This window comes from Homo sapiens, chromosome 2 (assembly GCF_000001405.40).
Source record: "Homo sapiens chromosome 2, GRCh38.p14 Primary Assembly".
Classification (NCBI taxonomy): Eukaryota; Metazoa; Chordata; class Mammalia; order Primates; family Hominidae; genus Homo; species Homo sapiens.
The window spans coordinates 186,736,561-186,749,202 of record NC_000002.12 but is presented as its reverse complement, the minus strand read 5'-3'; the positions used below and the strand labels follow the sequence as shown (position 1 = coordinate 186,749,202).

Below are 12,642 nucleotides of genomic sequence, written 5' to 3'. Positions count from 1 at the left end.
TGGAACTCTAGAACTGTGTAATCTAATAAAGTGACCACTAACTGCATGTGGCTATTTAACTTCCTCAGTGCACTGGTCATGTTTCAAGAGCACAACAGCCACATGTTGGACAGAGAAGAATATTTCCATTTGGCAGCACTGCTCTAGAACTTTTTAAATGATAGCAGCATTCTCAGGATAATCAAAACTATTAATGAATACTCTCAAAAGCAGGTAATAGAGTGTTGGGAAACAGTTCATTCTGACCCTTTCCCACTGAATCTAGTGAGTCTTGTCCATGAACATCCTCCAGCGCCATGAGCTTCATTTGTGATAGTGTGTACAGATACCATTCTAGTAAATGCTTTTATTTACACCATCCTGTAGGTTACATCTGGAAAATCTTGGCTGATGTCTTAGTTTGGCTTCCTCAAGCAGCAGACCCTGAGATAATAATTTGAGGGCAAATAGTTTATTTGGTAAGTAATCCCAGGAAGCACCTATCACTAACAGAAGCGTAATTCAGCAGGAAGGAAGGGAGCCAGTACAGGATGTGTTAACAAGCAGGTTATCACTGTGGTAACTCCAGCTCAGTTCCACTGGGGACATACACTGGCTCAGAGTTGTCCTAGCCACACCAACTTTTGTCTGTCATTGGTTGACAGCTTGCCCCATGTGATGGCCAAGTCTGCTTCTTGGAACCAAGGAATGCCCTCAGGCAGTCACAGATGTGTGCAGTAGGAAAAGCAGGTTTGTAACAGAATAATAAGTGTCATCTGGCTGGGGCACTGATAGCATCAACTCCAACAGGCAAAACAAAACTCTATCTAACCAAAATACTTATTTCCTGTTATCACTCATTGCTGGCTGTTCCTCAAATGAAATGAACAAAATATCTGAAAAAAAAAAAAAAGAAACTATCAGAATTATAGACTGTTTGAGGTGATTTTAAACAGTGGATTTTCAGTTAGGTTACAATGAGTGGTAAAAATGGTAGAACAGGCCTGGCGAGGTGGCTCATGCCTGTAATCCCAGCACCTTGGGAGGCTGAGGTGGGCGGATTGTTGAGCACAGGAGTTAAAGACCAGCCTAGGCAACATGGCGAAACCCCATCCCTACAAAAAATAAAAAAGATTAGCTGGGTGTGGTGGTGCATGCCTGTAGTCCCAGCTACTTGGGAGGCTTAGGTAGGAAGATCACTCGAACCTTGGTGGTTAAGGCTGCAGTGAACCAAAATCATGCCACTGCACTCCAGCTTGGGAAACAGAGCAAGACCCTGTCTCAAAAGAAAAAAAAAATGGTGGAACAAGTGTGGATGTACAGAGGGAAATGATGTTTGTAAAGGGTTTATTTATGAATGTATTTTTAAATGTAAAATTCCATTGTTCCACTAACTTTTATATTATGACAGCCTTATAGAAATTATATTATGACAGCCTTATAGAAATATATGAGTGCTGTTGACTCTAGAATACATATATTTTCAATATTTATATTTTACACAGAGAATAGCAAATATTTACAATAGCTTACTCCAATCTATAAACTTTTTTCTATCTCAATTATTGACACTTCTCATCAGTTGGATAAAAATGAATACATCAAATTATGAAAAAAATACAAACTGAATTTTAATTTTTGAATGTATTAAATTTTCAAAGCTATACAATAATCATAACTATTTTCTATACCTTACCTGCTTTGGATCAAATAAAATTTAATAAATTTAAAAGAAATCAAAATTTCCATGCATTTGAAATAATGTATGCTGAATTTTTCTTTCATTGAATAAGATATATTTCATTAAAGGGAATTTTTTATTATATACATTTTAATAACTAGATTTATGTCTCAAATGATGTGTATTATCCATAGCTTATATATTATAAGCTATTATAGATAGCTAAATATTTGATGAAAGATTTGTGTACTAATGTTTCTTATAACTATATTATACAAAAAGTAGATAATACCTGGTTTATTGAGAGTAATTCCAGTTGTATGCAGAAAATTGTCCACTTTCAAAAACTGTTGTAGAACTGTAAGATAGCCAGTAACGTTGCTAATATGATGGTTGTCAGGAAGTTTAATTAAGGCTTTTGAAAACTGAACACTTGGTTGAGACTTGGCATCTGGAAAAAAGGAAACCTCATTAACAAAGAGATAAAGGCATGTTAAGCATAGCAGCATTGGTCAGGATGTCTTACTTTAAAAGAAGCAATTATAATTATTGCTAAACATCATTAGCATCTTCTCATGTAATTATTTTAAATGCAGAACTAAGAAATTTTCATTTCTTTAGATGACACAAGGCACCTTTGTACTGATTGATTCTGCTGCCCAGAATTTCCTCACCCTTTTCTTTCCACTCTGGGGAACCCCAAACTGACCATTTTTAGCCCATGTGTTTCATTTGGGGTCTCATTTCTGTAACGGTAGTGGAGTTGATGGTGCATGCCAGAATGGGCTGAAACCAATTAAAAGCATCTCATTCTCTTGGCCACAGTGATTTGTTCAATGATGGGCCCTGTCCCAAGCACAGTTAATGAGATACAATGTGTGTTTTGCTTGGACTGGATTTAATGTGAGCAGGTATACATCCAGGAGTTGTAACAGCCATCTTGCAATCAAAAATGAAAGCTTGTTTAAAAATCGAGGCAGCATTCAAATAGTGGAGAGTTGAGTAATAGAGAACCAGTTTTCAATTATTTCTACTGAAGTCGTGATCGAGCCATGTCTAAAGTTCGTCCTATTCCTACACTTAACATCTATAAGAGAAATAAATAAATGCTTATTTTGGGCTTAAGCCAGATTAGGACTGGGTTTTCAGTAACTTGCAACAGAAAAGTGTCTCTGATGATATTCAGCCACATACTTAAGTGGGTAAGTTTCTCTATCAGTTAACTAACCATGCATTAAAAGCCTTTCAAATGCCAGGTACTCAATTTATAAATATCTCAGTAACTGAATTTTTCCTAAGTATAAATATCTCAGTATCTTCTAACATTATTTATCAAGTGATAATTCAGTGACAATATTGATATTTCTGTAATCAACAGATTTTGAATTTAATAATTCAAAGATCAACTCTTACACCTGAAAATTATCAGAAACATCAGCTTTTGCTTTGAACTTTAGTAAGGTCACTGATGAAGACAGAAGCAATCAATTAAATTATTAGAATAGAAAAGACATCAGTTTTTAAAGAGCTACATGACAATAAATGATAAATGAAACAATGTAAGACTTCTCAGTTTATAGTTTTTGTGTGTGTGAAGCTAGAAAAATAATACCTGGAAAACAGTTAAGAAAAGTAACATAATTATATGCTGTTTGGTTGTTGAGGATACAATCTAAAGCCTTCTGATCACTCACAGGTACTACCTATGACTTGCTCTTTTAAAATACGTGGCTTAATTATTTTGAAGACCACATTTCTTACAACTGAACACATGCACACTAAACAAAATGTCTAGCTGAGCTTCTGTAAGGTTTTGTACATTCCTAAATTTTCTAGTTTCTCCTTTTGCCATAAATACATAAACACACAGGCTTAATTTCCACTGTACAAACCTAATGAAACATGTTATGGAAGTTCAGCAGTAAGGATATGTATTTTTTACAGAAAGATTTAACATCATTATGAAACATTCATACTTTCCTGCCTGGCCTTACAAATGGGTCACCTTTTAGGAAAATGAGACAGTAAAAGGAAGTGATCTGAGAATTCAAGAGGACTCACAGTGTTCTCACGGAAACCTGCCAAGGCATGGCCAGTACTTTCCAGACAAATGAGTGCTTACCACTGCTTGGTACAGTGGCAAAGGATTGGTACGGGACATGGTCACACAGATCCATTTCATGTATTCCAGCAGAAACTATGATTGTTAATGGGGTTTGAAGATGCCAGTGAGGGGCAGAGATGCATCAAAACAAACACTGAAGAGGGACTGTGAAGAAGCTAATTTCATTAAGGCCCCAATAGCATTAAACAGAGCCTCTCTGTATACTTGTAATTCTTATTTACTTTCCATTCTTTCACACACAGCTCCACATCCACCATTCTGCCATACACAGCAAAAATCACTAGCTCAAAATTCTGGCAAGGCCAGTCATGGCAGCTCCCAGCACTTTGGGAGGCTGAGATGGGCGGATCGCTTGAGGTCAGGAGTTTGAGACCAGCCTGGCCAACATGGTGAAACCCCATCTCTACGAAAAATAAGAAATTAGCCAGGCGTGGTGGTACACGCCTGTGGTCTCAGCTACTTGGGAGGCTGAGGTGGAAGGATCACTTGAGTCCAGGAGGTAGAAGTTGCAGTGAGCCGAGATTGCACCACTGCACTCCAACCTGGGTGACAGAGCCAGACACTGTCTCAAAAAAAAAAAAAAAAAATGCTGGTCAGGCACGGTGGCTCATGCCTGTAATCCTAGCACTTTGGGAGGCTGAGGCGAGTGGATCACCAGAGGTCAGGAGTTCAAGACCACCCTGACCAATATGGAGAAACCCCATCTCTACTAAAAATACAAAACTAGCTGGGTGTGGTGGCACATGCCTTTAATCCCAGCTACTTGGGAGGCTGAGGCAAGAAAATCACTTGAACCCGGGAGGCAGAGGTTGCAGTGAGCTGAGATTGTGCCATTGTACTCCAGCCTGGGCAACAAGAGCGAAACTCTGTCTCAAAGATAAAAAAAATCTGGCAAATATCTTGGTATTTCAAATGTCTTGGTATTTCATAAGTAAGAGATTCTACAGCCTCACTCAGTAAATTGCTTCAAGATTCATCAAGCCCTAGTTTATTTTTTTCCCAAATAATAGTAAATTTTCTGGTTGAATATTTTAGGAATAGATAAGGCAGCATCTAAAAATGAAAAGAACTTTCACAGAGAGTTCTTTTTACCATGACGCTCTTACTGGACTCCACCTTGAGGGCTTTCTCACTTTATCAGTCATTCCTGTTATACTTTAGACCTAAATATGAATTTACCAATACAAAACAAACAAGCAAATTGTTGTCATTTATAGAGGTTTCCTAAAATATGCAATAAAAGAGTCACAGAATTCTGAGGTTTCTAAGGCGTGCGGGGAGTTAGGATGAAACAATCATCTTCATGGTTGGTAAAGCAGAATTGGAGGACACAGTTTGAATCAGTACCCAAAACATGATTTCTGCACTCTTCTCCTTGGGATACACAAGTGAGGCAAATCACGTCTACAGAGCAGATACTTAACTACCAAGTCTTAGGCATCTCCCAAAAAGCGACAAATTTAATGCTGGAGGCAGGAAGGAGGCAATCTGTAAATTAGCCCCAAAGGCCTGAGCAATATGTGTCCTGCCCTTTCCTCAATTTCTCCCACCATGGAAGCCCCAGTAAGAAATGTGATTTGGAAAGAAGAACAGAAGTTCTCTACAGTGTGCCTGTTTGAGGGGCTAAAATAGTAAAGGAAAAAATGACTCCTGCTATACAAAAAAGCCCACACCATTCATTTGACAGTAAAATATCAGTTCAGATCAACTTATAGTCAGTGCTAATCATACTGATCAATTTAGATTTTTCTCAAGTTATAATTCACACTGATTCTTAGTGAAGAAGTACAGTTATACGACAATAACTTTAAGTGTTTACTTAGTAAGAAGTATGGTACTTACCAGCTAATTTTCCAGTAATTAAAACAGTGTCTTCAAATAGCCATATATTTGCTTGGCTTTGCGGGAACAGTGAAAGTGTAACTGATGAATATACTGTGAAATATAGCACAATTAGAATATTTTACTTAATGTGAGGGGAAAAAAACTAGGACAAATATAGTTCTGTAACAGCAAGTCTCAAAAAGTGTGTTGTGGGGGGGAACAAATGCTTGATGGGAAGAGCAATTCAAAACAAAGGAAGAATGAATGTAAAATATGATGGAGGAAAAAAGGTCACAATAAAGTGAGAAGAAAACATTGGTTATCACTATTTATTTTACTAATCTTTTCTATTTGATGGTAGTAGTCTATACCAAGGTGATGAATGATGTTCTGTAACCCCAGATATAAATGATCAAGTTAAATGCTTGAATAACTCCCTGATATATTTTCTCTAATTTTTACTTATTAAGATTTAAAAATTTTTTTTCTTGGCTCCATGATTCAAGCTTCTCTAGATATAAACTATATCCACTTTTCACTTTTACCTTCCCACATAAGAGCACAATGCTCTTCTGCAAACAGTGTGGTTTGCCAAAAGGATCCTGAGTTGGCAGAGAAGGAAACAATTTAATGCACAAAATGATTCAAAGGCAACCTTTAGTAGTAATGCAGGATGGAGATGAACCTGCCTACAAGCATAGGCAGCTGAACTACCTGTTGGGATGAGTTAAATGCAGATTACCTGAAAGATATTATTTCAAGATTGGAGCAAGAAGCTGGGACAAAAGACCATTTTATAAGCAAGATCAAATCAAACTTATCAATCCTTCAAAAGAAAAATCAGTTTTGAGGAGTTCTCAATCCTCCAAAAGAAAAATCAGTTTTGAGGAGCTCCCAAAGCACGAGTTCTCGTTTGATATCTTTCCTCTATGCTGTGTATTTAAAATTAATAGAAATAGCATGGCATCCTCAAATCTCTTAAGAGAAAACACAGTTGCATGGAAATACTTTTATTATTTTGAGATATTTCAAAGAATTTAAAGAAAATATGGAAAAAAGTAAAATACAAAAAGTATACAATGATGGGTGGAAGTAAAAGGAAATATACTTTTCTCCTTCCATAGGAAAAGAGAACTACCAAATAAAAATGTAATTTCAATTTCAGAATATATTAACATTTAGACTGATTAATGGATTAAATTGGAGAGGTGGGAGGGTCACAGTTTGAACCTCAAGGTGATTATAAGTAAGGCATTATTCCATATTTGGATACTTTCTCAGTCACACCTCTGTTAAACATGAGGAGAATCTTTCTGAACTTCAAACACATTCAGATTTCTTTTCACGTGAAAATTGTTTCCTATTATAAATGGGATGTAATACCCATGGTGAAAAACTTGAACACAGAAAATAAGATGAAAGTGATGATCACTGCAACACCACCATAGGAACAATCATTAATAATATTTTATTATAGCTCTTTGTTGGGTATTCCTGTGATTTTTTAAAATAGTGAATTATGATATTGTTACAGAATACTGTTACCCTGCCTTTTTCATTTAATAACATAAGTATTTCTCTCAAAAGATACTTTTCATAACATTTTTAACCCACATATTTCATTTATTAAGGTATCAAGATTTACTTATTTACTGCATTAATCCAATAGATTTGGAATGCTTCCATTTCACTATTATTACAAAAATATTGCATCAGCTTCCTGGTGCATGAACGCCTGTCCACTGTATTTAATATTTTAACATACGTTTATTTGTGCAGATTCATAAAGTGAATACTGGGTCAAAGTTTATGAAGATTTTGAAGACTTTGACACATACATTTCAAAAATTGTTACCGAGGTAATTTTGCCAGTTTGTACTTCTACCAAGAATGTTTGAGAATCTGATCCTATCTTGTTTGACAATATTAAAGATAATCATTTAACAACTTTTTTAAGGTAAAAAAATCTAAGTGTGTATTTCTTTGGTGTACTAATCTTAGATTATTAAAGCATGTTGTCATATGTACTAACCATTTGTATTTCCTGTTTTGAAAATTGATAGGCCATGATTTTGTCCATTTACCTTATTTAGTTAGGGTCTTGGCATTTTCTTATTGATTTGTATGAATTCTTTACATATTAAGGACTTTATGCCTTACTGTTTCAAATATTTTTCCAACCTCAGTTGCTTTTTATGTTTATGACATACAGGACTTTATTAAAATAATATGTTCATATATAGCTTATGGCATCTTTTATTGCTTTTAAGTTTAAACAGACCATCCTAACTGAAAGGTCAGATAGTTTATTTTCTTATATTTAATATAATTATTTTCCACATTTGATCTCTCTAAGCAATATATTTTCACATATGGATCCAATTAATTTATTCCAAATAGTTAACCAAAATATATCTATCATTTAATGACTATTCAACCTTTTCTCAATGATTTCTAATGGCATCTTATCATAGATAACATTTTATAAATACTAAGTGTCCAATTTGTACCATAATACAACTTATAGCATAATATCACTCACTCTTAATTTTGTAGATATATAATATGTTAGTTGTCTGTAATGGCAAATTGCCCCTAGGAGATGTATTTTTAAAAGATTCCCATGTATCTTTACACATTTATTCTTTAAAGATTATTTTTGCCAATTCTTAAAAATAAATCTATAATAATATGTTAGGGAGGTTTCAGATAGTTTACCTGTTGGGACACAAGACCCTTGCTTGCAAGCAGCTTCTCAGAACTAAAACAGGCCCAAGAGAACTTGTTTGCCCATTCTACCATGTGAGGACACAGAAGATGTCATCTATAAACAAAAATGCCCTCACCAGACACAGAATCTGCTGGCACCTTGATCTTAGACTTCCCAGACTCCAGAACTGCAAGAAATAAATTTCTCTTGTTTACAAGCTACCCGGCTCAGGGTATTTCATTATAGCAGCCTGAAAAGACTAAGACAATGTTTTCTTCAAAGTAGCACTCCCTTGTAACCTCCTTATGTTGACTTAAGCATTTTCATTTTCAGCTTACCAGAACAAGATATCCCCCAAACAGAGAAAATAATTCATTTACATTTAGCAAAAACAAACAAAAAAAAACTGTTTAAGTGCTTACTTGGCATTCTTCTGGTTTTCCAAGGCAGAGGGGTCAACACGTAGCCATCTTTGTAAGCAATAATAGTTAAACTAAGTCCTAATTTGTAGGGTACTTTTATCAGCACTGCTCCATTGCTTTTAGTTACTGTGGAATTTGTCTTCGTGTAGTTTACAAACACTTCTACAACTGCTTGGCTCAGGTACTGACGACTGATGATGTCATTCACCTGGACTTTCAACATAAATACAGACACTGGAGAGAAAAAGGTAGAAATTGCAGCATGTCGTATCCTAGAATGCATATGTCATAGTCTTTAAATGTCATTCAACATATCTAAATAACAGTACAAAACTGTTGTTAAACTTAGGAACTACACATAAATACATATAATAATGAAGAATTCATTATTCTTTGTAAAACGAAATAAATTTCAATACAGTTAAGTGCTCCATAGCAACATTTCAGTCAATGATGGACCACATATATAATCTTCCAGAAGATTATGATGGCACTAAAAAATTCCCATTGCCTAGTGACGTCATGGCCATCATAGTGTTGCAGTGCAATGTGTTACTCACGTGTTAATGGTAATACTGGTGTAAACAAACCTGTGCTGCCAGTTGTATGAAAGTATAGCATATATAATTAGGTACAGCATATAAAACTTGATAATAGATTACGTTACTGGTTTATGAATTTACTATACTTTTTAATCATTATTTTACAATGCAGTCCTTCTACATACAAAAATAAAAGTTAATTGTAAAAAAGACTCAGGCAGGTCCTTCAGGAGGTATTCCAAAAAAAATAAAGGCATTGTTATCTTGGGAGATGACACTTCCATGCATGCTGCTGCCCCTGAAGACCTTCCAGTAGGACAAGATGTGGAGGTGGAAGACAATAATATTGATGATCCTGCCCTGTGTAGGCCTGGGCTAATGTTTATATTTGTGTCTTAGTTTTTAACAAAAAAAGTTTAAAAAGTAAAAAGTAAAAAATTTTTAAAATAGAAAAAAGCTTATCAAATAAGGATAGAAAAAAATTTGTACAGTTGTACAATGTGTTTCTTTTAAGCTAAGTGTTATTACAAAAGAATCAAAAAGTTTAAGTTTCAGTAAGTTTATGAACTTATAGTAAGCTAAGGTTAACTTATTGAAGAAAGAAAAATATTTTTTTCTAAATTTAATATAACCTAAGTATACCACCATGGAGTGTTTGCAGAGTCTACAGTAGTATACGGTAATGTCCTAGGGCTTCACATTCACACACCCATAGCAACTTCCAGTCCTGCAAGCTGTATGCATGGTAAGTGCCCTTTACAAGTGTACTATTTTAAAAAAAAATCTTTTGTATGGTCTTTCTGTTGTGCCTTTTGTACGCTTAGATAAGTGTCAGTTTAGATGCACTGACACTTAAAATTGTGTTACAATTGCCTGCAGTATCCAGTACAGTAATATGCTGTACAGACTTGCAGCTTAGGAGCAATAGCCTATACCATATAACCTAGGTGTGCAGTAGGCTATACCATCTAGGTTTGTATAGGTACATTATGATGTTCACAAAACAATAAAATCACCTAACAATGCATTTCTCATAGTGTATTGTCATTGTTAAGTTACACATGGCTGTATTTGTTATTAAGGCACAATATTACTCCATTTTTTCCTATCAATTAAAAAAGAAGAAAGGACAGCAGTGAATAATGTGAAGACTGAGGTTCTCTCTTAAGGAAAATACATTTTTATTGTGTTTCACTAACTCTAATGCTATCAATAGCAACAGGAGACAGACAAATTCCTAGACAGTCAAAAATGGGTTCCCTTTCAGTGCCAACCTTCAAGCCAAAGAAAGCCTGAAACCTAAAAACTGAACTGCCAGTTCTGGACAGAGTCCACGACCAGAGTGAGAACTTCTATCTTTGTCTTACCCTCTGTCTCTTGATTGGTTCCTTTTGGATGATGCCTTTTAACCAACTGAACGGTTCTTTTTCCAAGAAGACCCATGGACTATTCTGCATGCACTCCCCCATTCTAAGCCCACAAAAACTCCAGACTCAGCCTCACAGATGGCTACCCTGCTTTCAGGGTCCCCTCTCCACCGAGAGCCTTCCTTTTGTTGCTCAATAAAATTCTTCTCTGCCCTACATATTCTCCAGTGTCTGTGTACCTTATTCTTCTTGGGCATGGGACAAGAACCTGGAACTCACCAAACTGCGGGCAGCAGAAACAAACAAGCTGTAACCCTAACTTCTGCCCCGTGGGCTGTGGACGGTGGGAATAAAATAGCTGCAATATGCTCCCACTCTCCAAGCTATGGGAGTGGAAAGCTGCAAAATTTCTGGAAGCTCAGACCTCAGGACTCCCCAAGCAAGAGCTGTAACATCCCTTGGGGCTCCGTGATCACTGGCATCTCTAAACATGGATCACCATGTTCCCCTAGTCTAGATGCCAGCACCCAACACAGAAGCCGCTTGTGGCATGCCCAGTCCAGCCACAGGCTGAGCGTGGAGCCACAGCGGGTGTGGGATCTGAGCAGGCGCGAGCCGAGCACAGCCTGCTGGGCTGTGCAACACCCAGACGGAGGCAGCTGCAGAGATTTCTGGTTGTCAAAGCAGCACTGTAGGAAATCTTGTAACACTTTCAAGTTACATAGATTTAACACATTCCAAATGTAGTCAAAGTTCTTAGAATAAAATGCCACTACTGCATGGCTAGCTCTTTTATTTTTTTCTGTTGTCTGGAAAGCAGAAGATGTTTTTCAGTGCCAAATATACAAAATATCAAAAATCCTTCTCTAAAATATCAAAAAGCCTTATCCATTAGGTATATAAGAAAACAAGGCTGAGCTTGATGGCTCATGCCTGTAATCCCAGCACTTTAAAAGGCTGAGGCAGGAGGATTGCTTGAGGCCAGGAGTTCAAGACCAGCCTAGGCAACATAGACCCTGTCTCTACAAAAAACTTGAAATTAGCTGGGTGTACTGGCACATGCCAGCTGCTTGGGAGGGTGAGAAGGAAGGATGATTTAGCCCAGGAGGTCAAGGCTGCAGTGAGCCATGATCACACCACTGCACTCCAGCCTGGGCAACACAGCATGACCCTGTCTCCTAAAAAAAGAGAAAGAAAAGAAACTAACATATGTTGAGGAAAATGAAAACTAAAGCCTGTTTTTACTTTAACCTCTGGTCTTACTCCTTAAGTACAGATCTTGATAACGTCTGCCTAAGAAAGAGCTTGTACCACCATGAAAGTGCCTTTGTAAGCATGTATCACATCTCTGTGAAAGATGCTTTCTCTTCCCCTGTAAACGGGTTCTGGAGTCAGTCACCATCCACCTCTGCCATTCCCTAGACATGTGACCTTGGGCAAGTTAGCTCTCAAAGTCCATTTGGTCATATGTAAAATCAGGAAAATAGTTAGCTACTTTGAGATAATAAAATGAAATAATGTGTCCAGTACAGAGCTTGTGTATCACTTAATGTGATTGGTAATAAAAATTATTATTCCACTATAAGAGAGCACTTCACAAAAATTAGAGTACACTGATAAGAAATATAAAGATTATGCTGCAATACATTTGCATAAACCTATTTTTACCCAAAATTTGTATCAAGAACAGCAAATCAGATAAAAAATTCTTGTCAATGTTGACTGAGCCTCAATATTGCTATCAAAATATTGTTATACCTTGTCCGTTCTTTGTTAAACTGGACCTTAAATTGCTTCTGGATCATAACAAAGACATTTCAAATACAAATATAACCTTTGTAATAATCACCCAGTCCTAGGGAAGGTTCAATCCACCAAACTAAAAAAAAAAAAAAAAAAAAAAAAAAGCTCTGATCCCTTCCAGAGTCTAAAACGTTAAATGTTATCCAAACACTATTCTCATTCTCTCTCTCTCTCTCTCTCTCCCACACA

At 36.4% G+C, this 12,642-nt stretch overlaps 1 protein-coding gene across 1 annotated transcript in view; it reads right to left on the bottom strand.

Moving 5' to 3' along the window:
* Positions 1 to 12,642, bottom strand: part of FAM171B (family with sequence similarity 171 member B) — a 71,900-nt gene that overhangs the window by 16,757 nt on the left and 42,501 nt on the right. Inside the window, exons 2-4 of the mRNA NM_177454.4 lie at positions 8,742 to 8,975; positions 5,628 to 5,720; positions 1,953 to 2,111 (exon numbers count right to left, since the gene is read on the bottom strand). Of these exons, the coding sequence (NP_803237.3) occupies positions 1,953 to 2,111; positions 5,628 to 5,720; positions 8,742 to 8,975 (486 nt within the window). The remainder of the gene's footprint in view (positions 1 to 1,952; positions 2,112 to 5,627; positions 5,721 to 8,741; positions 8,976 to 12,642) is intronic.